A 26,060-nucleotide genomic window follows, 5' to 3' on the forward strand; every position below is an offset into this window, starting at 1 on the left:
TCTATGGTAAAAGGGACTTGGGGCTGGGCGCGTTGGCTCACGCCTGTAATCCCAGCACTTTGGGAGGCCGAGGTGGGCAGATCACCTGAGGTCAGGGGTTTGAGACCAGCCTGGCTAACATGGTGAAACCCCGTCTCCACTAAACATACAAAAATTCGCCAGGTGTGGTGGCGTGCACCTGTAACCCCAGCTGTTCAGGAGGCTGAGGCAGGGGAATCGCTTGAACCCGGGAGGCGGAGGTTGCAGTGAGCCAAGATTGCACCACTGCAGTCCAGCCTGGATGACAGAGCGAGACTCTGTCTCAAAAAACAAAATACATATATATATATATTGTTCATTTGTTTATTTTAAGATGGAGTCTTGCTCTGTCGCCAGGCTGGAATGCAGTGGCGTGATCTTGGCTTACTGCAACCTCCACCTCCTGGGTTCACACCATTCTCCTGCCTCAGCCTCCCGAGTAGCTGGGACTACAGGCACGCGGCAGCATGCCCGGCTAATTTTTTGTGTTTTACTAGAGACGGGGTTTCACCATGTGGCCAGGATGGTCTTGATCTCCTGACCTCGTGATCTACCATTATATATATGTATATATATGCACCTTGGGTCTGAAGGAAGGGTCCAAGGCCGAGAGAGGCCTGCAGTGCTTCCCAGACTTTTCCACAGCAGAAGCCCTCACCCTCAACAGGGATAATATACCCATAGGCAAGTCCAGGGTCAGCAGAATTGGCTGCTTGGCCCTAGGCCAGCAGCCTGGACACAGGCACTCCAGCTAAGGGATTGCTGTCTTGGTGCCCCTGGGAGCCATTCCTGCCCCCAAAGGCACACTGGTGGGAAAGCCCTAGGATGACCCGTGCCAAGAGGACAAGCAAGGACCAAGCTATGGGCAAGCCAGAGGTCAAATGGAGGCTGAGGAGAGGCTGGAGAAGTGGTGGTGGGGGGCAGGTGGAAGGACAGAGGGTGCCAGGCATCTACAGACACTGAGCGCCCCTGAGGGGTCAGGCCTGAGACAGGCAGGGAAGGGTGGAGTTAGACCTCTGCAAGAGGCTATGTTTGAACCCTGTGAGCAGAGTTGAGGTTAGACTTCAGAAGGAAAAAGAAAAGCACAAGGCCAGCTGATTCTCTCTGAAGAGTGGACTTTGGGATACCTTTCCCAGGAACCCCCATCCCACTCCCTCTGCCCTTTACTCTCCACCACGCACACAGCTCCCCAGGGGACCAGGCCACCCTGGACCTTGCTACTTCCTGCTCCTTGCAGCCATAGCTCAGAGACGATGGAACTGTGGAGGCAGCTGAATCAGGCTGGACTGGTGCCTCCGGGGCTGGGCCCACCCCCCCAGGCCCTGAGGGAGGTCTCCCCAGTGGAAATCCCTGGTCAGACCCTCAGGACTGCAGGGGCAGACACTGGAGGTGCCTGCGATAGTCTGCTGTGGATCAGGGAGGAGCTGGTGAGTGAGGGGTTTGGAAGGGAAAGAGAAAGAGAGGAAATGAGAATGAATGGAAATGAACAAAAATAGAGAAGGCCAGAGATCGAAAAACAGAATCTGAGAGATAGAAGCAGAGACATGAGAGGCATGTACAGACACCGAGAGACAGACATAGAGTGAGGGACGGGAACAGAGGTGGGGACAGGGAGATCCCAAAAGAGAGGGACAGAGGTGGGAAGCAGAGACGGAGAGCAGGAACAGAGATGGAGAGACAGACTGAATTTGAGAAAGTTGGGGAGGGCAGAGAGAGGGCAAGCGAGAGAAAGAGAGCCAAAGGCAGGGGCAGAGAAATGGCAACACATAAAGACAGAGAGACAGGGGCATGGAAAGACAAAAAATAAATGGGGACAGAGACAAAGGGAAACAGGGACAGATATAGATAAGAGAGGGAGGAGACAGAGAGAGAGAAGTCAGGGACAATGAAATGGAGAGACAAAGAGAAGAGTTAGAGATCAAGAGACACTCTGAGAAGCAGGAAGGCAGTTAGGGTCCATGGGCACAGTGAGGACCCTGCCCAGGCGCTGTGGCCAGGACATGAGTTGGGACCTGCTCTCACCCAGGTCCTGGAGAGACCCCTTGCTCTCTGGGGTGGCATCCCTGTGACGTCCCCTTCCTACTGGCAGGGGAACCTGCGCCGAGTGGATGTCCAGCTGCTGGGACAGCTGTGCAGCCTGGGGCTGGAGATGGGGGCGCTGCGGGAGGAACTGGTCACCATATTGGAGGAGGAGGAGGAGAGCAGCAAGGAAGAGGAGGAGGATCAAGAGCCCCAGAGGAAGCAGGAGGAGGAACACCTGGAGGCCTGCCCAGCCCCACATCCACCTGACTTTGAGATGATGATCTGAGGCTCTGCCAGTGGATTTAGATTGACATACAAATGAGATGCAAATGTATGTAAAGGAGAAGGGAGATTTGCAGGTCAAAGCAGATGTGGAATCAAGTATACCCCTTTAGTAAGTGCTTTCTCTGAAGGTGCCTGCAATGATATTTAGGCATTGGCCTGTGAGCTATGGGTGTGTTTGCAGATGACATGAGGATGTGTTTGGAGGTGATGTGGGAGGTTGTAGAGAAGTTGCAGGTGCTTTCGCAGATGAGCCTCAGGTGTGCTGCTGAGATGGGGATCTCTGCAAATATGCTGGTGATGCATACAGATGCGATTTCAGATCAACGCTGTCCAGTATGGTAGCCACCGGACACACATGGTTATTTAGTGCTTGAAACATGGGGACTGCAAATTGAGATGTGCTGTGAGTGTAAAATACACACCAAATATTAAAGGCTTAGTATGATGAAAAGAACATAAGACATCTCAATAATTTTTAGATTACTTATTGAAATAATAATATTTTGAGCATATCAGTATTAGTAAAAATATTACTAAAATTATTTTCACCTGTTTCTAAATTTTGTTTGTGTGTATTGTTCCCCTCCCTGTGTCCATATGTTCTCATTCTTTTTTTTTTTTTTTTGAGACGGAGTCTCACTCTGTTGCCCAGGCTGGAGTGCAGTGGCGTGATCTCGGCTCATTGCAACCTCCATCTCCTGGGTTCAAGCCATTCTCCTGCCTCAGCCTCCTGAGTAGCTGGGATTACAGGCTCACGCCACCACACGGAACTAATTTTTGTATTTTTAGTAGAGACGGGGTTTCACCATATTGGTCAGGCTGGTCTCGAACTTCTGACCTCGTGATCCACTCGCCTCAGCTTCCCAAAGTGCTGGGATTACAGGCATGAGCCACCTCGCCCAGCCTCATTGTTGTGTTACAAAGCACTTTCTGTTGGAAGTGAGAGTCTTTTCAGAGAAGTGAAATGTTGACAGAGGAGGTGCTGATTCCTTTCCACGGGAGTTTTCTCCTTAAAAATAAGCCGCTTCCACTTTGGGAGGCCGAGGCTGGGAAATCACTTGAGGTCAGGAGTTTCAGACCAGCCTGGCCAACATGGTGAAACCCTGTCTCTACTAAAAATACAAAAATTAGCTGGGTGTGGTGGCACGCGCCTGTAATCCCAGCTACTGGGGAGGCTGCGGCACAAGAATCACTTGAACCCGGGAGGCGGAGGCTGCAGTGAGCTGAGATCACGCCACTGCACTCCAACCTGGGAGACAGAGAGATACTCTATCTCAAAAACAATAACAACGAAAAACCAAGCTGCTTCGTTTTGTCCAGTGGAGACCCCAGGATTAGGGTGGGGTACAGGACTGGGGTTTAGGGGTTCAGGCTCCATCCCCAGCCTGGTCCTCATTAGCTAACCTGAGCCAGGTCTGCAGCTGGTGTCAGTGCTGCTGTTTGGGGGTTGGGGAGAACGTTGAAGTCACGCCTAGCAGCCAGGGAAGGGGGAAGGACACCCCACAAAGCATGCAAGCGGCAGGGCATTCTCTCTCTGTCTTGGCACTCTAGACAGAGGCCCGGGGAGTCTGGGGGTCTCTTGGCAGCTACATCTAGACAGTAGGGGTCATGGGGAATGAGGATGTTGGATGCCATGGCCCCAGGGTCTGGGTCATGCTTCACAAGTGCCAGGGTCCTCTGTCTCTTGGGGAGAAAGAGATGAGGGGGGTACAAGTGAGAGGCTGGTGGGGCGACTTGTAACAGGTGCTCACTATTCAAGAACAGCATGAGGCCGGGCGCGATGGCTCACGCCTGTAATCCCAGCACTTTGGGAGGCCGAGGCGGGCGGATCACGAGGTCAGGAGATCGAGACCATCCTGACTAACACGGTGAAACCCCGTCTCAACTAAAAATACAAAAAATTAGCCGGGTGTGGTGGCAGGCTCCTGTAGTCCCAGCTACTCGGGAGGCTGAGGCAGGAGAATGGAGTGAACCCTGGAGGTGGAGCTTGCAGTGAGCCGAGATCGCGCCACTGCACTCCAGCCTGGGCAACAGAGCGAGACTCTGTCTCAAAAAAAAAAAAAAAAAAAAAAAAAAGGACAGCTTGGAGGATGGACTCGATGTTTAAGGGGAGTTGCCCTAATCCTATGGCCTGGGCCACAGAGGTGAAATCTATGGAAGAGAGTGGGAGTTTGGGTGAAGGGGCCAGCCTCACCCGTACTGTCCTCAGCACCACACTAACTGAGCTCCTTCCAGCAGTGACCAAGTCTTTTCCAGGCCTGTCCTTCCAGATCTCCCAGACCAGTGGGAGAAGATACCCATCCCTATCCAGGGACAGCCAAGATGGTCAGGGTGGGGACAGAGGAAGTATAATCTGAGGGATCAAGGCTGAGATGGGGGAGGCACAGGAGGCGGAGGGGACCCAGAGAAGGCAACAGGCCCAGGCTGAAATGTCAGGAAAGTGATCTTAGAGGAGAATTGAGGCAACAAGGAAAAATGAGCCAAGTAAAGAAAGTGAATGAGGCTGGGTGCAGTGGTTCACGCCTGTAATCCCAGCACTTTGGGAGGCCAAGGTGGGTGGATCACCTGAGGTCAGGAGTCTGAGATCAGCCTGGCCAACATGGCAAAACCCCGTCTCTACTAAAAATACGGAAACTAGCCAGGCATGGGGGTGCATCTATAGTCGCAGCTACTCAGGAGGCTGAGGCACAATAATTGCTTGAACCCGGGAAGTGGAGGTTGCAGTCCGCCAAGATTGCACCACTGCACTCCCACCTGGGCAACAGAGTGAGACTCTGTCTCAAAAAAAAAAAAAAAAAAAGTGAATGAAAAGGATATAAAAGTAGAAAAATAGCATACACAGAAGCCATGGGGCTTATCTAGTGATCTAGCCCCCTGCTACTCAAAGTGCAGTCATTCATGGAATACAGCAGTAACAGCATTGTTACAGCTGTCTATTGCTGCATAACAAACAGCCCCCAGACATTGTTGTTTCAAAACAGTGACAGCATGCATTTTGCTCACGCATCTGCAATCTGCAGGGATCCCTCATCTCTGCTCCACGCTGTCTGAGGCTTCAGCTGGAATCATTGTTGGCGCATTTGCTCTCCTGTCTGGCGGTTGATGCTGGCTGAGGGCTGGGGGTGCCTCTGTTTCTCTCCCTGTCTTGTCTCCACATGGGCTAAGTTGGGCTCCCAAGGAGCTTAGAGGATGGGTTCCAAGGGCATGTATCCTGAGAGGGAGCCAGTCAGAAGCAACATCGCCTTGTGTAACCCAGCCTCATAAGCCATGCAGGGTCACTCTCACCATGTTGATGCCATCGTCAAGTCCTGATCAGGTTCAAAGGAAGGGGAAATAGCCGGGCGCGGTGGCTCCCGCCTGTAATCCCAGCACTTTGGGAGGCTGAGGCGGGCGGATCACCTGAGGTCGGGAGTTTGAGACCAGCCTGGCCGACATGGAGAAACCCCGTCTCTACTAAAAATACAAAATTAGCTGGGCGTGGTGGCACATACCTGTAATCCCAGCTACTCGGGAGGCTGAGGTAGAAGCATTGCTTGAACCCAGGAGGCGGAGGTTGCGGTGAGCTGAGATCACGCCATTGCGCTCCAGCCTGGGCAACAAGAGTGAAACTTCGTCTCAAAAAAATAAATAAAGGAAGGGGAAATGGACTCCACCTTTTCATGGGGGAGTACAAGGTTCTGGAGGAGCATGTGGGACCGGAAACATTGCTGAAATCATCAGTGGAAAACGCAAGTTACCCCAGCAGCCGCTTGGTAGGTGTGCTCACTCCCAGACCCATGCCAGACCAACCAAATCAGATGCTGTGCATACAAGAAGAGTTCCACCTGCTTTGTTTGCAAATTAGGTTTGAGAAATACTGTTTTAAATCACAAATGTGACACTGTTTTGAGCAGGTGGAGCAGGGAAAGAGTAATTACATTTAGAGAGCTCCCTCTGGCTGCCGCGTGGAGGTTGGATTAGAGGGCTCAAGAGTGGTGGTCCAGTAGAAAGAACCAAAAAAAAAAAAAAAAAAATGGATGAATTGAACATTATCAAAATTCCAAACCTGTGTACATCAAAAAACACTATTGAAAATAGATGGCCGGGCACTGTGGCTCACACCTGTACTTCCAGCACTTAGGGAGACTGAGGCTGACAGATCGCTTTGAGGCAGGGAGTTCAAGACCAACCTAGGCAACATGGCGAAACCTCGGCTCTACTAAAAAATACAAAAATTAGCTGGGTGCGATGGCAAGTGCCTATAACCTCAGCTACTCAGGAGGCTGAAGTGGGAGAATTGCTTGAGCCTGGCAGGTCGAGTCTGCAGTGAGCCAAGATCATGCCACTGCACTCCAGCCTGGGTGACAGAGTGAGACTGTCTCAATAAAAAAAAAAAGAAAAAGAAAATAAAAACACAACCTATATATTAGGAGAAAATAGTTGCAGAAATATATCTGATAAGGCTCTAGTATCTAGAATATATAAGGAACTTTTACAACTCAACAATGTAAAGACAAATATTAATAGTTCAGTTACAAAATGGGCAAAGAACTTGAATAGACATTTCCCCAAAGAAGATGTACAAGTTATTAAGCCAATAAGCACATGAAAAGATGCTCAACATTTGTGTCAGTAGGGTTCTTCAGAAAAACAGAATAAATTATATATATAGCTAAGTTATACGTATAATTTAATTAAGTTATGCGTATAATTATATATATAATTTATTCTGTTTTTCTGGAGGACCCAATTTATATATATAAATTGGCTCATGTAATTATGGAAGCTGAGAAGTCTCACGATCTGCCATTTGCACGCTGGAAATCGGGAAAGCTGGTGGTGTATTCAGTCCAAGTGTGAAGGCTTCATAACCAGGAGTGCAAATATCTGAGGTCAGGAGAAGATGGATGTCTCAGCTCCAAACAAATTCCCCCTTTTCCCCTCCCCTCCCCTCGCCTCCCCTCTTCTTTTTTTTTTTTTGAGACAGAGTCTCGCTCTATCGCCCAGCCTGGAGTGCAGTGGCGCGATCTCGGCAACCCCTCCGGGGTTGAAGCGATTCTCGTGTCTCAGCCTCTCGAGTAGCTGGGATTACAGGAGCGCGCCACATGTCCAGCTAATTTTTCTGTATTTTTTAGTAGAGGGGATGTTTCACCATGTTGGCCAGGCTGGTCTCAAACTCCCGTCCTCATGTGATCCACCCACCTCGGCCTCCCAAAGTGCTGGAATTACAGGCGTGAGCCACAGCGCTTAGCCAGAAAATTTTAAACATTACCCATGTTTTGGTTGTGCTTCTACTGGGCTCCCACCTGCTGTGATGCCCTGTCTCCACCAGGTGGCGCCAACACACCCCTGCAGCCCCTCCAGCCAAGGCAGACTGGACACTGAGGGGCAGGACCCGACTATGAGGTCCTTTGAGGAAGCAGGTCCTTATAGAGGGCGTCGTTGAGACAGGCTATTCCCACACAGGGGGCTCCTGTTGAGAGAGAAAGTCCAAGTTCTGGTGAGCGGGAGACAGGCAGGAATAATCACTCCTAAAGCTACCCATGTCACAATCCCTGGAACCCGTGAATGGTAACTTTTATGGCAAAAGGGCTCTGCAGTTGTTAAGGATATTGAGGTGGAGAAATTCTCCTGGGTTATGTGGGTGGCCCTCAATGGAATCCCAAGTGTGCTTGCAAGAGAGAGACAGAGGGAGCCCTGAACACAGAGAAGGTGAGGATGTGATAACAGAAGTAGGAGGGTGAGTGGTGTCAGGAAGGGGCTGGAGCGAGGGATGCAGCAGCCTCTAGAAGGTGGAGAAGCAGCACAGATGCTCCCTGAGGCCACCAGGTCAGTACAGCCCTGCTAGTACCTTCAGTTGACACTTCTGACTCCAAAGCCATAAGGACATCAATTTGTGTGGGTTTAAGTGACAGATTTGTGGCCACCTGTAGCAACAGCTACGAGAAACTCCTACAGGCAGGAACGGGGGGCAGAGGCAACGGTAATTTTCCTATTAAATATAACTTAAGCTAAAATGAAAATATCAGCAATAGAACTGATGAGACTGTGGGACAGCTGGAGCAGTCACACAGGTGCTGGGAGTGCGTGCTGGTACAAGGGCTTTGGAAAACCCTGTGGAAGTGTGTGTGACCCTGAACATACGGTATCTGGGAGCCAGCAGTTCCCCTCCTGGGCATATACTAAAGAGAAAAAGAGAAACACGTGTAGGCGCTCACCAAAGACACCTACTAGAATAGTCACAGCAGCCCAATCTTTTTTTTTTTTTTTGGAGACGGAGTCTTGCTCTGTCGCCTAGGCTGGAGTGCAGTGGCACAATCTCGGCTCACTGCAAGCTCCGCCTCCCGGGTTCACGCCGTTCTCCTGCCTCAGCCTCCCGAGTAGCTGGGACTACAGGCGCCCGCTACCATGCCCAGCTAATTTTTTTTTTTTTTGGTATTTTTAGTAAAGACGGGGTTTCACCGTGTTAGCCAGGATGGTCTCGATCTCCTGACTTCGTGATCCGCCCGCCTCGGCCTCCCAAAGTGCTGGGATTAGAGGCGTGAGCCACTGCGCCCGGCCACAGCAGCCCAATCTTAATAGCTTCAAACAGGAAGTTACCCAAATGCCCATCAGCAGGAATGGTGGTGTCCCACCCCTTCCATTGAGAGTGGGGTCTGTGTGCCAGTCCCCTGAGTATGGGTGGGCTTGTGACTTCTAACACTAATAAGTGTGGGGAAAATGAACTGATGTGACATCTAAGGCTGAATCATAAGAAGTGTGAGCTTTGGCCGGGCGCGGTGGCTCATGCCTGTAATCCCAGCACTTTGGGAGGCCGAGGCAGGCGGATCGCCTGAGGTCAAGAGGTCAAGACTAGCCTGGCCAACAAGGTGAAACCCCGTCTCTACTAAAAATACAAAAATTAGCTGGGCTTGGTGGCAGGCGCCTGCAATCCCAGCAACTTGGGAGGCTGGAGCAGGAGAATCGCTTGAACCTGGTAGGCGGAGGCTGCAGTGAGCTGAGATCGTGCCACTGCACTCCAGCCTGGGTGATAGAGCAATATTTCATCTCAAAAAAAAAAAAAAAAAAGAAAAGTGTGATGCTGTGTAAGAAACCCAACTGCTTCAGGATCACCATGTTGGAGAGGTCATGTGTAGGGCTCAGGTGACTGTCCCAGCTGAGCCGAGCCTTCTGGCTGTCCCCACCATAGTTTCAGACCTGTGAGTGAAGAATCATCTTATACATAGAGGCCTCATCCCCAGCTGTTCCAACCCTGAGCTTTTCAGTCACCCTGAGCCATTCGCCTCACCCCTGCGGAGGCTTTAGCATCATGGAGCAGAGACAAAACTCCTTGGGTTTGACTTTTCAGAATTTTTGATCCACAGAATCATGGAATTGTCACACCATTTAGTTGGGAGTGGGGTTGTTACATAGCAGCAAATAACCAAACACAAATAATAAATAAGTTATGGGATAGTCATGCAATGGAATGTTTACACAGTATCTACTTGTAGATGATATGTCTTCTCCCTCAAACAGAAAGTAAGGGTTCAAGAGCTAAGCTATGAAGATGCAAAGGCATAAGAATGATACAATGGACTTCAGGGACTCCGGGGGAAAGGGTGGGAAGGGGGTGAGGGATAAAAGACCACAAATTGGGTTCAGTGTATACTTCTCAGTTGATGGGTGAACCAAAATCTCACAAATCACAACTAAAGAAATTACTCATGTAACAAAATACCACCTGTTCCCCAAAAACTTATGAAAATAAAATTAAAAAAAAAATCATACATAGGCGGGGCGCAGTGGCTCAACGCCTATAATCCCAGAATCTTGGGAGGCCGAGGCGGGCAGATTATTTGAGATCAGGAGTTTGAGACCAGCCTGGCCAATATGGTGAAACCCCGTCTCTATTAAAAATACAAAAATTAGCTGGGTGTGGTGGCTCACTCCTGTGGTCCCAGCTACTTGGGAGGCTGAGGCAGGAGAATTGCTTGAACCCAGGAGGCAGACTTTGCAGTGAGTCGAGATCACGCCATTGCACTCCAGCCAGGGCGAAGAAGTGAGACTCCATCTCAAAAAAAAAAAAAAAAAAAAAAATTGTGTGTCATTGGCATTAACTTTTTTTAGTAAAGAAAAAAATGGAAAAACAAAAAAAAATGGAGATATGAGAGGATAATCACCCTCATATATTTAAATCTGTTATATATATGAAATTTGTGCCCGGGCATGATATTGGTTTTGATTATTTTTATTTGCTTGAGAAGTATACCTAGGTTTTTCTTTTTTTCTTTTTCCTTTTTCTTTTTTTGTTTTGAGATGGAGTCCCGCTCCCATCACACAGGCTGGAGTGCAGTGGCGAAATCTCGGCTCATTGCAATTTTCACCTCCCGGGTTCAAGCGATTCTCCTTCCTCAGTCTCCCAAGTAGCTGGGATTACAGGCATGAGCCACCATGCCCTGCCCTTCCTGCTCCTCTTGAGTATGTCTAGTAATTGACACACTTGGCTGTCCACACTTCTTGGCCTTACAGACACTGTGCTCTATAACATGACTCTTAGGTCTCTGCAGGGCAGCCCCCACTTGTTGCAGGCTGACGCTGCTGCCTCCTCCTCAGGCCCACCTTGCTTCCCATGGCATAGTGCTGGCCTTAGCCACTCCCAGATACTTTCATCACACTGGTGCTATGAAGCCCTGCCCTGTAACTGTCCCCTGCTTTGAGCTTTGACCTATGAAAAATGACCATCACTTGCATCTCAGTGATGCTAGTGTCCCTCTCACTACCGCAGTGCTCACCAGCCCTCCTCACCATCCTAGTCAGCTACTGGGTTATTTTCTTCTGTAAAAGGCACGTTCTGGCCTGGCGCGGTGCTGCAGACCATCAGCACCTCTGTGATGAGGTGCTCACTGCCATCTTGTGGTGGGGGGGGGTCATCTAAACCCAGAAGTGATTGTCACGGTTGGCTTTCTAGAATCTTTGCTGGAATCACATGTTGGGGATCATGTTCTCTAAAAGCAAAGCATGAGGAGGTGATTCAAGAGGTGCATTGGGCCAGGCACAGTGGCTCACACCTGTAATCCCAGCACTTTGGAAGGCTGAGGCAGGAGGATCAACTGAGGTCAGGAGTTCGAAACCAGCCTGACCAACATGGAGAAACCCGTTTCTACTAAAAATACAAAATTAGCTGGGCGTGGTGGTGCATGCCTGTAATCCCAGGTACTTGGGAGGCTGAGGAAGGAGAATCACTTGAACCCGCGAGGCAGAGGTTGTGGTGAGCTGAGATTGCGCCATTGCATTCCAGCCTGGGCAACAAGAGTGAAACTCCGTCTCAAAAAAAAAAAAAAAAAAAAAAAAGATGCATTGCAGGAGTGCGCTGGGGAGCTCGAGGAAAGCAGCGAAGACCAGATCTGGCTGGAGACCCTCTTAAGTCTGATCCCAGGGAGGCTCTGGAGCATGCACCGCAGCACAGAAGGGGCCTCACCTTGGTCGCTCTTATATCTCTGTGCTAGCGTGTCCCTGGCTGTTGGCTGTTCTCAGGAAGGAGGTGAATAGCAACCACCTGGACCAGGTGACTGCCCTTCAGCTGAGGTCAAATCTCTGCAGGAAAATCATCTATGAGGTAGGAATGAGCATCCTGGAGAAGGGGACCTGAGCAGTGCACCCACAGTAATTCCTACACTGTGTAAATGTCTTTAAAGAAAAGTCCAGGGCTGGGCATGGTGGCTTATGCTTGTAATCCCAGAACTTTGGGAGGCCAAGGTGGGGGGATTGCTTGAGCCTAGGAGTTTGAGGCTGCAGTGTGCCATGATTGCACCACTGCACTCCAACCTGGGTGACAGAGTGAGACCCTGTCTCTAAACAAAACAAAAAACAAAACAAAACAACACCCCCAAACCCCCAGAACATCCTGTTTTGAGCAGGCCTATGCAAATTTACTCCCAAAGGCCAAAGAAGCTGAGAGTCTGAAGAAGAGGCTGACAAATCAAATTTCTGAAGTACAAACATTTAATATTGCTTAAAGAAGAGCAGGCATGTTTGGGTGGCAGGGAGATGAGATGGTGGAATCCCACACTGTTACCTCCCAGACCCAAGGCTTACATGCAATAGGATAGAATGGTATAAAAGCCCTTTTATACTGTGGGTTATACAAGGAATTGAAGTTGATTGCTTAGAAGAAGAGAAGGATTTGACTAAGGGCAGGGTTTAGGTGAAAGTAGTAACTGTAGGCACATTTCTGGAGCTGGCTTTCATCAGAAGTCAATTTGGCAGGTGAGCATCCAAGATGAAGTGTCCTTATTCTCCACACTCCATCCCCCTAATTCGGCTCTTACAATCTCACGCGCCTTCCTCTTCCAAGATGGTCCCTGAGCCTTTAGGCAGGGAGGTTGGGGTGAACATGCTGCATCAATGTGTTTTCTACTTTTTTAAGCAGAGGCCACAGCAACACTACAGCAGGCTTTGTAGAAATCATCAGCAGCCTTTGTAGAAACAGCAGGCTTTGTAGAATCATCTTCAGAATACTGTGATTTTGGTTAATTCAGAAGTACTACAATGAAAGATCTATAACATTAATAATTTGAATAGTAGGAATAGAATGCACACAGGATTACAATAAAAATTGTTGTTGCATTAGAAGCCAACTAAAACTATCATAAAGAAAAAGAAAACCCATTTATTCCTTGGATACTTGTAGTCAGGAAATAATTCAGAATTTAGACCAAATTGCAGGTAAATAATAAAAACCTCAAAAACAATGTTTAGGGCTAGAATCTAATAACAGGTGTAGTATAGTTTTCTTCTGAAACCTAATTTTTTTTATCTTCAGTTTCCACATTTCTATGAAGGATAAATTGTAGTAGGACCAATTTATTTGCAAAATAAATTTTAATTTCATTATACTTGGTCTGATTATTATTATTATTATTTGAGACAAAGTCTCACTCTATTGCCCAGGCTGGAGTGCAGTGGTGTGATCTCAGCTCACTGCAATCTCTGCCTCCCAGGTTCAAGTGATTCTCCTCCCTCAGTCTCCCAAGTAGCTGGGATTACAGGTGCATGCCACCATGCCTGGCTAATTTTGTATTTTTAGTAGAGACAGGGTTTTATCATGTTGCCTAGGCTGGTCTTGAACTCCTGATTTCAGGTGATCCTGCCTCAGCCTCCCAAAGTGCTGGGATTGCAGGCATGAGCCACCGTGCCCAGCCGTGGCCTGATTATTTGCAATAATGTGTAGAAAGAATAGTGATTGGCCATATAGCCTCTTTTAAAATTGGCTTTGCTGGACCTTTCACAAGTAATTTTGGACTAGATGTTTAGAAACATCAAGGGCAGGAAGCAAAACCAATAATTTGCCATCAGACTGTGCTTGTAGTACCTGTATAACCATGCAACATGTTCTTCTTGCCCATTGCACAGACAAAACCAATTTACTGAGTCCGTGGTATTGCAGTAGAGAAGGTTTAATTAAATCAGAGCAACCCAAGGGGTAGGACTGGGATTATTAATCAATCTCCCTAATAACTCAGAGGCTAGGATTTTTATGGATAATTTGGAAGGCAGGGGGCTAGGGAATGGTTGCTGCTGATTGTTTGAGGATGAAATCATAGGGGTGTGGAAAATGGTCCTCATGCACTAAGTCCATCTCTGGGTGGGGGTCACAGGACTGGAAATCTCAGGACCTCTGGCCATGTGACTCCTGAGAAGCAAGAGATTATAGAAAGGCAAGCTGTGGGACAATGACTTGTTATCAGTCAGCTACACCTGCATTTTAGCAGAATTCAGGCCCCTCTCATAATCTTAATCTTGTGGGCTTTCATTTGTCATACAAAGGTAGTTTCAGTCCCTGAGCAAGGAAGGGGTTCATTTTAGGGAGAGACTATTATCATCCGTGCTTCAAAGTTAAACTATAAACTAAATTCCTCCCATGGCTAGCTTGGCCTATGCCCAAGAGTGAGCAAGGGCAGCCAGCCTGAGGCCAGACACGAGATGAAGTCAGCCATGCTGGACTTCTCTCATATTCATAATCTTTGCAACAGCAATTTCACCTGTATGAACTGGGTGAATTCCCCCATCTTCTTGAGATCCCTACATAACTTGAGGTTCCTGAGCCTGTCAGAAAGTGACATTCTTTACTTTCCACAGGTGAGGGACCTTAAAAGGAAAGCATATTGAAAATATACCCAGTCTTTTTTTCTCCAAGAAGATTCTTATCAGCTCCATAAAGTCAACTTCAATTCCTCAAATAAGTCGTATTTGAATTCATTCCACTGTAAGCCTTCAAAGAGTAATGAGTATCTCCAATGGTTCCTGTTACGAAAGAAAACCGAATCTGATTGAGCTTGTGCCAATAATTATATTGCCATAAGTAAAAATACTCACAAATAGTTTCCAAATTTTGGAGAATTCTTACAGGGAGAAAGGTCAGTTTCACTCACAAAAGTATACTTGGTCAATTGCTGTTAGTTATAAATAGCTCAAAAGAAAGGTTTTCCTGATGCTTCTTCTAACAGAGTGGCAGTCTTCCAAACAGGATGTTGTCTGTTCACTTTGGAATTGCTATCCAGAGAGCAAGCAGCTCTTTGTCGGCCAGGCGAGAGCTGTTTATTAGGCACTGTAGAATCTAGCAGCATCTCGAGATGGAGCAGGGACCCCTCTTAGGGGCTTACTCGATCACCATCAGCCAGTATGGAGATAAAGGAAAATCTTGACTTCCTTCAAGGGAAATTCCAGGCATCTAGCTAGGCTTGAGAAGTAAATGAGCAACTTGATCAACGAGAAGGTAATGGTAACTTAAAACAATAGCCAAGGAAATTGGAGTCGTAACATATTTGGTTCCCTGTGAAAACTAAAGATAACATCTTAACATATGTCTCTGAGTTGTTTCCGGAAACCTGGACCCTCACCAGAAAATACTAAAAATACAAAAATTAGCCAGGTGTGGTGATGAGTGCCTGTAGTCCCAGCTACTCGGGAGGCTGAGACAGGAGAATTGCTTGAACCCAGGAGGTGGAGGTTGCAGTGAGGCGAGATCATGCCATTACACTCCAGCCTGGGCGACAAGAGTGAGACGTCTGCTAAAAAAAAAAAAAAAAAAAAAGAAAACCAAAGACATTGCTTACTCTCATCATCCATTAGTTACTCTCATCATCCAGTTACTCTCATCATTCATTTTAGTAAAGGCTCCTCCAGAAGCTGATAGCAGTCTCACTCAGATTGTACCCTCTGGTTTCTGTACTTTGTTTTGCTCCTCCCCAACAGTTACTAGGTTCTTGGTAACCACAATTCTCAGAAGTACTTTCTATTGTCCCTACATGATTTGGTCTTTGGGAGGTGGCTCTGAGCTAGTGGCTGAGACTCACATTCACTGAAATCTAAGCTTAGTGTAGCATCAAGATTGAAGCCAGCACTCTGTTTTAATTTTACTTTAGCTATGACAGGTAACAATAACTATGGGATTGAATATTACCCTTTTTTCTTATTTTGTTTGCATTTTCTTAGGCATCCAGTAAACTGACTCCTCCAAGAGTTGGATTCATTTCTAAATTCCCCAGCAAACTTTACCTTCAGTAACTGTGGCTCTGTGCCATGGGTAACTACATGGCCACTCAGGAATCAGAGGTTCCTCATTACTCACCTTTTTATTTTTTTGCTTTCTATACATTCAATTGTATCTATATCATTGTGAAAGAAAACAGAATCTCCAGGCCCCCAACTCACTATGGCTAAGGGCAAGTGAAGTTTGGAAACGTAGTCACACAATCCTGCTTTCTTTTTTCCCCAAACACATAGCTGTAATTTCACAACCCTGCGTCATTGCCGTATCATTGGGGTAAACGAGAATATCCCAGTGACACAAGGACACATATCTTCCCAGATGGCTTTCCTCATAAGTTGCTCACGCGGAAATTCCTTGTGAGCCCCTAACTCTTTCAGGAGAAATATTGTAAACAAAAAGTAAAATTCTAATCCCCCCAACCAACCGAATAGAGCCCCTTCTTGTCCAAGGGTATCCCCTGCAAACCTGAAAAACTAATTCAGGTCACGATGAGAAGGCAGGGGGTCAGACACACCTCATTATATTTCTTCCCTTTGGAGTTCATGCAAAGTGACCAGCACTAACATTAAAACAGAGATCCTGGCTGGGCACAATAGCTCACATTTGCAGTCCCAGCACTTTGGGAGGTCGAGGTGGGCAGATGACACGAGGCCAGGAGTTCAAGACCAGCCTGGCCAACAGGGCAAAATACCATCTCTACTGAAAATACAAAAATTAGCTGGGTGTGGTGGCGCACACCTGTAATCCTAGTTACTTAAGGGGCTGAGGCACGAGAATCACCTGAACACAGGAGGCAGAGGTTTCAGTGAATGAAGATCGCACCACTGCACTCCAGACTGGGTGACAGAGTGAGACCCTGTCTCAAGAAATAAGAGGAAAAAATAGAGATCCCAACAGTGACGGAACAGACTCTTTGTTGCAATAAGATAACCGACTCCAACCTGACTCTGGTATAGCATCACATAATAGATAACATTCCCTAAAGGAAATCAAAGTATTTTATCCCCAAATGTATTTCTTTGACATATTTTGGAATGGCCCTGCAAAGCCATCTCTTATTGGAGAAATCTATAGAGCATCCTCTTCCTGGCTTGGCACGGTGGGTCACGCCTATAATCCCAGCACTTTGGGAGGCTGAGGTGGGCAGATCACAAGGTCAGGAGTTTGAGACCAGCCTGGCCAATATGGCAAAACCCCATCTCTACTAAAAATACAAGAAAAAAAAATTAGCTGGGTGTGGTGGTGTGCACCTGTAGTCCCAGCTACTCGGGAGGCTGAGGCAGAAGAATTGCTTGAACCTGGGAGGTGGAGGTTCAAGCAATTGTATATTTAGGATATTACAAGTATCCTGGATTAAGTAATATCCTGGATATTAGGAACCATATTATAAGGAGGGTGGACACCTTTTTCGATATGGGGAGTAATATTATGCTCTCCCCCCAGAATATTATGAACAATTTCACAAGGGGGGTGTACACATCCTGTGACAATGGGAGTAATATCATCCTCTTTAAAAAAATATTAGTATCGATATCATGGAGGGGTGTACACGCTCTGCAATATTGGGAGTAATATTATTCTCTTTTTCCCCGGATATTCACAAGAATGTCACAGAGGTGGTGTACAATTCCTGTGATATTGGGAGTAATATATTCTCTCCCCCTAGATATTAGAAACAATATCAAATGGTGAGTGTACACACTCTGTGAAATTGGGAGTAATGTCATCCTCTTCCCCCTGGATAGTAAAAACAATATTACTGGGGGTTGTGTAGACTTTCTGCGATATTGGGAGTAATATCATCCTATCCCGCCCTGGATATTAGGATCAATATTACAGAGGGTGTACACCCTCTGCGATATAGGGAGTAATATCATCCTTTCCCCCCGAATATTAAAATCAATATCACAGAGGAGTATACACCTCCTGTGATATTGGGAATAATATCATCCTCTCCCTTCCCTGTACGTTAGAAACAATATCACAAGGGGTGTGAACACCTCCTGTGATATTGGGAGTAACATCACCCTATTATCTTTGGATATTAGGAGCAATATCACCTTGGGGGTGGGCACCTTCTGTGATATTGGTAGTAATATTATTCTCTCCCTCCCTGGATATTAGGACCAATATCACAGAAGGGGTTTACACCTTTTCTGATATTGGGAGCAATATTATCCTCTTCTCTTCTGGATATTAAAAACAATATCAAAAGGTCGGTGTACAGCCCCTGTGATATTGGGAGTAATATCATCCTTTTTCCCCATAAATATTAAAATTAATATAATTTTCTTCCCCCTGGCTATTAGGCACAATATCACAAGGGTGTGTACACCCCCTTCGGTATTAAGCGTAATATCATCCTCTCACCCCCTGGTTATTAGAAACAATGTCACGGGGGAGTGTACATCCCCTGCGATATTGGGAGTAATATCATCCCTACCTCCCTGGATATTAGAAACAATATCACAGGGGAGTTGTAAGCTTCCTGCGATATTGGGAGTAATATTATCCTCTCCCCTTCTGGATATTAGGAACAATATCACAGGGAAAGTGTACACCTTCTGTGATATAGGGAGTAATATCATTTTCTCCCCCACTGGATGTTAGAAACAATATCACAGGGAAGGTGTACAGCCCCTGCCATATTAGGAATAATATCATCCTCTCCCCTCATGGATATTAGGAGCAATATCACAGGGGAATGTACACCCCTTGCGATATTGAAAGTAATGTCATCCTCCCCTACTCTGGATATTAGGAACAATATCACAGGGGTTGTGTACACGCCCTGCAATATTGGGAGTAATATTCTCTCCCCCACTGGATATTAAAAACAATATCACAGGGGGTTGTACACCCCCTGCAATTTTGGAAGAAATATTATCTTTTCTCCCCGTGTATATCAGAAACAATATCACAAGGGGGTGTACACACTCTGCGATATCGGGAGTTACACTGTCCTCTTTCCCCATACATATTAGGGACAATATCAATACGTGGGTGTACATCCCCTGTGGTATTGTTCTTAATATCATCCTCTGCCCCCCTATATAATAAAAACAATATCACAGGAAAGGTGTACATTTCCTTTGATATTGAGAGTGATATCATCCTCTTTCCCCTTAGATATTATAAACAATATCACAGGAGGGGTGAACACCCCCTGTGATATAGGGAGTAATATCATCCTCTACCGCCCTGAATATAAAGAGTAATATAACAGAGGGGGTGTACACACTCTGTGATATTGACAGTAATATAATTCTCTGCCCCCCAGATATTAGGAACAATATCAAAAAAGGGGTGTACAACCCCTGTGATATTGGGAGTAACATCCTCTCCTTCCCTGGATATTACAAACAATATCACAGGGGAATGTACACCCTCCCCTGTGTATGGGGTAGTAATATAATTATCTCCCCCACTAGATATTAGAAACAATATCACAGGGAAACAATATCACTGCGATATTGGGAGTAATACTATTTCTCCCAGCCCGAGTATTAGAAACAGTATCACAGGGGGAGTGTACACTCCCTGCAATATTGAGAGTAAAACCATCCTCTCCCCACTTGGATATTAGAAACAATATCACAGGGAAGGTATACGTCCCCTTAGATATTGGGGGTAATAGCATTCTCTTTTTTCCTGGGTATTAGGAGCAATATCACAGGGGTGGTGTACACCCTGCAATACTGGGGGTAATATCATTCTCTTCCCTTTTGGATATTAGGAACAATATCACAGGGAAAGTGTGCACCTTCGGCGACATTAGGAGTAATATCATACTCTTCCCTCCTTGATATTAGCAACAACGCCACAGGTTTACATCCCCTGTGATATTGGGAGTCATATCATCCTCTTTTCCCCTTGATATTAGAAGCAATATCACAAAGGGTGTATTCATTCCCTGCTATACTGGGAAGAATATCAACCTCTTTTTTTCCCCTGGATATTAGGAATAATATCCCAGGGGGAGTGTACCCATTCTGCTATATTGAGAGAAATATCACCCTCATTTCCCCTGGATATTAGAAACAATATAAAAGGGGGGGGTGTACACTTCCTGTGATATTGGGATTGATATCATCCTCTTCCTTTTTGGATATTAGGAACAATATCACAGGGGGGTGAACACTCTTTGTGATATGGAAAGTAATATTATCCTCTCCCCCCCTGGATATTAGGAACAATATCAAAGAGGGCATATACATCCCCTGCGATATTGGGAGTAATATTATCCTCTCCCCCCCTAAATCCTAAATATTAGGAGCAATATTACAGGGTGGAGTTTACAACCCTTGCAATATTGGGAGTAATATCACCCTCTCCTCCCCTGGATATTAGGAACAATATCACAGGGATGTGCACACCCCCTGCAATATGGAGAGTAATATCATTCTCTCCCTTCCTGGATATTAGGAACCATATCACAGGTGGGGTTCACAACCCCTGTGATATTGGGAGTAATATCATCTTCTTTTTTTCTGGATATTAGGAACAATGTCTATTGGGGGAACTAGCCCCCAATATTTCAAAGTAGGTTCTTTTCTATTTTCCTTAAGTGTCACCTGGTCTGAGAAATAAAGTGAAAGAGTACGAAAGAGAAATTTTACAGCTGAGCCTCCGGGGTGACATCACATATCGGCAGGTTCTGTGATGACCACCTGATCTGCAAAACCAGCAAGTTTTTATTAGGGACTTCAAAAGGGGAGGGGGATACGAATAGGGAGTGGGTCACAGAGATCACATGCTTCAAATGGCAATAAAAGATCACAAGGGCAGAAGGGCCTAGCAAGGTCACAAGGCCAGGGAGAAAATGGAATTACTATTGAGGTTCCATGTCCTGCTGTGCACGCATTGTCATTGATAAACATCTTAACAGGAAACGGGGTTCAAGAGCAGAGAACTGGTCTGACTAGAATTCGCCAGGCTGGAATTTCTAATCCTAGCAAGCCTGAGGGCACTGCAGGGGACCAGGGTGTATTTCATCCCTTATCTTCAACCACATAAGGGATACACCCCCAGAGCGGCCGTCCATAGGCCTCCCCTAGGAATGCGTTCCCTTCCCAGTGATATTTCTCCTACTCATTTTCTGCAATAAGAAAAATGTGACTCTGTTCTGCCCAGCCCCACAGGCAGTCAGACCTTATGCTTATCTCCCTTGTTCGCTGAACATCGCTCTTATCCTGTTCTTTTTCAGGGTGCCCAGATTTCATATTGTTCAAATACACATGTTTTATAAACAATTTGTGGAGTTAATGCAATCATCACAGGGTCCTGAGGCGACATACATCCTCAGCTCACAAAGATGATGAGATTAAGAGATTAAAGTAAAGACAGGCATAGGAAATTATAAAAGTATTGATTGGGGAAGTGATAAATGTCCATGAAATCTTCACAATTTATGTTCAGAGATTGCAGTAAAGGCAGGCATAAGAAATTATAAAAGTATTAATTTGGGGATAATATCCCTGTAATATCCCTGGATATTACAAACTTTACCACAAAGGGGTGTACACCCCCTGAGATATGGGGATAATTACACCTTCCCTCCCCCCTTGATTTTACGATCCATACTACAAGGGGGTGTACACTCCCTGCAATATGGGGAGTAATAGCACCTTTTCCCCTGCTGGATATTACGAACCACAGGGGGGTGTACACCCCCCTTGATATGGGGAGTCATAGTGTAGCAGGAGGAGTCGCGGACAAAACCCCACAGACACCGAGGTAGTGAAGGAAGTGGCTTTTAATCAGCTGGAAGCATCGAAAGACTAGCGTCTCAAAATCCGAGCTTGTTGAGTGCACAATTTCTGTCCTTTTTAAGGGCTCACAACACTAAAGATCTTACATGAAAGGGCCATGATTGATTGAGCAATCTAGTGGGTATGTGACAGGGGCTGCAGGCACCGGTAATCAGAGTGAAACAGCACAGAACAAGAAATTTCACAATGTCCTTCCATACAATGTCTGGAATCTATGGATAACATTGGTTGCTAGGTCATGGGTTGAATTTTAACTATCAGGCTAAGGTCAGGCAGGCCCAGGCCTGGTTTCGGGTCTGGTTTTGGGTCTGGTGCCTGGCGCCGGGCTGCCTGCTTTTGGTTTCACTTCCTTGTTTCTTCTTAAAACAGGTACTGAGTATAAAATAATATAGAACAATATGGGGGGTCTCTTTCTCTCTTCTTTTGATAGCATCCCCTCACCCCGGATATTACGAACCATACCATAGGGGGGTGTACGCCTCCTGCAAAATGGGGAATAATAGCACCCTCTCTTACCCTGGATATTTCGAACCATACCACAGGGAGGTGCACTCCCCCCACGATATGGGGAGTATGGGGGTAACAGTACCCTCAATCCCCTGGATATTACGAACCATACCACAGGGGAGTGTACATTTCCAGCGATATGAGGGGTAACAACACCCTCTCCGTTCCTGGAGAATACAAAACATACCACACAGGGGTGTACACACCCCGCGATATAGGGAGTCATAGCATCCTCTCTCCCCCTGGATATTAGGAACCGTACCGCAGCAGGGTGTACATGCCCCGCACTGTGGGGAGTAATAGCACCCTCTCCCTGCCTGGATATTATGAACCATACCACAGTGGGGTGTACACCCCTTGCAATATGGAAAGTAATAGCACCCTCTTTCCTTCTGGATATTAAGAACCATACCAAAGGGGGGTGTGCACTCCCTGCGATATTGAAAGTAATATTATCCTGTTCCCTTCTGGGTATTAGGAACAATATCACAAGGGAATGCACATGCCCTGCGGTATTTTGAGTAATATCATCCTCTCCCCTTCTGAATGTCAGGATCAATATCACAGGGAGGTGTACACCTTCTGCGATATTGGAAGTAATATCATCCTCTCCTTTTCTGGATATTAGGAACAATATCACAGAAGGTATGAACACCCCTGCTATATATCCAGTAATATCAGCCTCTCCCCTCCTGGATATTAAGGAGAATATCACGGGGGGGGGGGTGTAATATCATCCTCTTCCCTGCTGGATATTAGGAACAACATGACAGGGTGGGTGTACACTTCCTGGATAATGGGATTAATATCATCCTCTTTCTTCCTGGATATTAGGAACACTACCATAGGGGAAGTGTAACCCCCCTGCAATATTGGTAGTAATATCATCCTCTTTTTCCCTGATTATTATGAAGAATATCACAGCGGGGATGTACAATTTCTGCTATATTGAGAGTAATATCATCTTCTCCCCGCCTGAATATTAGAAACAATATCACAGGAAAAATACACACCCTCTGCGACATTGGGTGTAATATCATACTCTTTTCCCATGGATATTAGAAATAATATCATAGGTGGGGTGTATACCCCCTGCGATATTGGGAGTAATATCATCCTCACCACTTCTGGATATTAGGAACAATATCACAGGAGGTGTGTACACCCCTTGCTACAATGGGAGTAATATCATGCTCTTTCCCCCTGGATACTAAAAACTATATCACAAGAAAGGAGTACAAACCCTGTGATATTGAAAGTAATATTATCTTCTTTCCCCCTTAATATTAGGAACAATATCACATGGGGTGTGTACACCTCCTGCGATATTGAGAGTAATATTATTTTCCCCTCGCCTGGATATAAGGAACAATATCACAGGAGGGGTGTACACCCCCTGTGATAATGAAAGTAATATAATCTCCTCCCCCTCTTGATATTAAAAACAATATCACCTGAGGAGCACACACCCCCTGTGATATGGAGACTAATATCATTTTCTCCCCACCGAAATATTTAGAACAATATCACGGGGGGTGTACACCTTATGTGATATTGGGAGTAATATCATCCTCTCCCACCCTGTATATCAAAAACAATATCACAGGGAGTGTGTACACTCCCTGTAATATTCACAATAATATCATCGTTTTCTTCCCTGGATATTAGGAACAATATCACAAGGGTGGTGTACATCCCCTGTGATATTGGGAGTAATATCATCATCTCCTCCCATGGATATTAGGAACCATATCACAGGAGGGGTGTACACCTTGTGCGATATTGGGAGTAATATTATGTTCTCTCCACCTGGATATTAGGAACAATATCACATGAGCGGTGTACACCCCCTGCGATATTGGGAGTAATGCCATTTTCTCCCCCTTGATATTAAAAGCAATATCACCAGGCGGAGTGCACACCCCCTGCGATATCGAGACTAATATCATTTTCTGCCAACCTAACTATTAAGTACAATATCACAGGGGGTGTTCACCCCTTGCCATATTGATAATAATCTCCCCTCCTGGATATGAAAAACAATATCACAGGGGCGTCGTGCACCCCCTGCGATACTGGGAGTAATATAATCCTCTCCACACCCTGGATATGAGGAACAATATTACAAAGCGGGTGTACACCCCCTGGAATATTCACAGTAATATCATCGTTTCCTTTCCTGGATATTAGGAACAATATCACAAGGGGGGTGTAGACCTCCAGCGATTTTGGGAGTAATATTTTCCTCTCCCCCTCTGTATATTAGAAACCATCATGGGGGGGTGTACACCACCTGCGATATTGGGAGTAATATCATCCTCTTCACCCCTGGTTATTAGGAACAGTATCACTTGAGGGGTGTACCTCTACTGCGATATCAGGCATAATAACATCCTCTCCCCCCGAATATTAAGAACAATATCACAGGTGGACTGCACACCCTCTGTGATATTGAAAATAATATCATCCTCTGCTTCCCTGAATATTAGGAATAATATCACAAGGGGGGTGGACAACCCCTTCTATATGAGGAGTAATATCCTCTTCCTTCCTTTATATTAGGATCAATATCACAAGGGGGGTGTACACCCCCTGCAATATTGGGAGTAATATTACCCTCTCTTTTTCTGGATATCAGAACAATATCACAGGGGAAGTATACATTCCCTGTGATATTGCGAGTAATATTCTTTCCCTCTACTAAATATTTGCAACAATATCACAGAAAAGGTGTACAACCCCTACGATATTGGCAGTAATACTATTCTCTTCCCCCTGGATATTAGGAACAATATTACAGGTTAAATGTACACTCCTAAGATATTGGGAGTAATATCATTCTCTTTTGCTCTGGATATTAGGAACAATATCGCAAGGGCGATGTACACTCTCTGAGATATTGAAAGTAATTTAATTATCTCCCTCCCGGCTATTAGGAACAATATCACCGGGGAGTGTACACCCTCTGCAATATTTAGAGAAATAAGATCCCCTTTTCCCCTAGATTTTAAGAACTATATTACAGGGGATGTGTGTACACCCCCTGCGATGTTGGGAGTAATATCATCCTCTCTCCCCCTAAATATTTGGAACAATATTACAGGGGTGGTGTACACACCCTGCGATACTGGCAATAATGTCATCCTCTCCTTTTCTGCATATTGGGAACAACATAATGGGGGAGTGTACACCTCCTGCGATATTAGGAGTAATATCATCTTCTTCTGCCCTGGTTACTAGGAGCAATATCACAGAAGGTTGTATAACCCCTGCGATATTGGGAGTAATATCATCCTTCCCCCCACGTATATCCCAGCCTTGATATTAGGAACAATATTACAGGGGAGGTGTATACCCCCTGCTATAAGGGGAGTAACATAATCCCCTTTCTTCCTGGATACTAGCAGCAATATCACAGGGGTTGTGTACAACCCCTCCGATATTGAAAGTAACTTCATCTTCTTTCCCTCTGAATATTAGGAACAATATGATGCGGAAGGTGTACACCCCCTGTGGTATTGAGAGTGATATCATTTTCTCCTAGCTTGGATATTAGAAACAATATCACAGGAGGGGTGTACACCCACTGCGATATCGGGAGTAATATAATCCTCTCCCACCCCTGGATATTAGGAACAATATTAGGATATTAGGAAGGTGTACACTCCTTGGAATATTTATAGTAATATCATCGTTTCCTTCCCTGGATATTAGGAAAAATATCAGAAGGGGGTGTACACACCCCAGAGATTTTGGGAGTAATATCACCCTCTCCCCCGGATATTAAGAACAATGTTATTGGAAGTGTGTATGCCTTCTGCGATATTTGGACTCATATCATTTTCTCCCAACCTAAATATTAAGAACAATACCACAGAGGGTGTACAGCTCCTGCAATATTGAAAGTAATATCATCCTCTCCTTCCCTAGATATTAGGAACAAT

At 45.9% G+C, this 26,060-nt stretch overlaps 1 protein-coding gene and 2 long non-coding RNA genes across 5 annotated transcripts in view, besides 1 other annotated feature; 1 reads left to right on the forward strand and 2 right to left on the reverse strand.

Moving 5' to 3' along the window:
* The first annotated feature begins 1,257 nt into the window (after positions 1–1,257).
* ERICH4 (glutamate rich 4) lies at positions 1,258–2,867 on the forward strand. 2 transcript variants are annotated; one of them, NM_001130514.3, is made up of 2 exons: positions 1,258–1,445; positions 2,108–2,867. In NM_001130514.3, the coding sequence occupies exons 1-2, from the start codon at positions 1,272–1,274 to the stop codon at positions 2,324–2,326; spliced, it is 393 nt and encodes a 130-aa protein (NP_001123986.1). In that variant the 5' UTR covers positions 1,258–1,271; the 3' UTR covers positions 2,327–2,867. The 2 variants fall into 2 exon arrangements, with proteins under 2 accessions (NP_001123986.1, XP_016881608.1); XM_017026119.2 differs by having other exon boundaries at positions 2,045–2,779.
* A 4,169-nt stretch (positions 2,868–7,036) lies between these two features.
* On the reverse strand, positions 7,037–7,694 carry LOC107985329 (uncharacterized). Its single transcript, XR_001753941.2, has 2 exons — positions 7,611–7,694; positions 7,037–7,191 (listed from the first exon to the last, which is right to left on the reverse strand). It is a non-coding gene; the product is annotated as an uncharacterized LOC107985329 (long non-coding RNA).
* Positions 7,311–7,370: an enhancer, noted in NCBI's record as "active region_14683". NCBI's record gives its function as "activates an Ori minimal core promoter by ATAC-STARR-seq in GM12878 lymphoblastoid cells {active_cell/tissue: GM12878}" and the evidence as "EXISTENCE:reporter gene assay evidence [ECO:0000049][PMID:35858748]".
* Positions 7,695–12,270: 4,576 nt separating the features above from the next.
* PCAT19 (prostate cancer associated transcript 19) overlaps positions 12,271–26,060 on the reverse strand; it is a 46,481-nt gene continuing 32,691 nt past the window's right edge. For both annotated transcript variants that reach the window (NR_136334.1, NR_040109.2), the window contains one exon: positions 12,271–14,589. This is a non-coding gene — a long non-coding RNA (prostate cancer associated transcript 19). The remainder of the gene's footprint in view (positions 14,590–26,060) is intronic.

The sequence above is a fragment of the Homo sapiens genome, chromosome 19 (assembly GCF_000001405.40).
Source record: "Homo sapiens chromosome 19, GRCh38.p14 Primary Assembly".
Lineage (NCBI taxonomy): Eukaryota > Metazoa > Chordata > Mammalia > Primates > Hominidae > Homo > Homo sapiens.

Bases quoted from the DNA above. Each gene is read 5' to 3' on its own strand.
- ERICH4 (XM_017026119.2), top strand. From the start codon at position 1,272: ATGGAACTGTGGAGGCAGCTGAATCAGGCTGGACTGGTGCCTCCGGGG. The intron at 1,446-2,044 runs GTGAGTGAGGGG...GCTCTCACCCAG, and splicing joins TGTGGATCAGGGAGGAGCTG to GTCCTGGAGAGACCCCTTGC.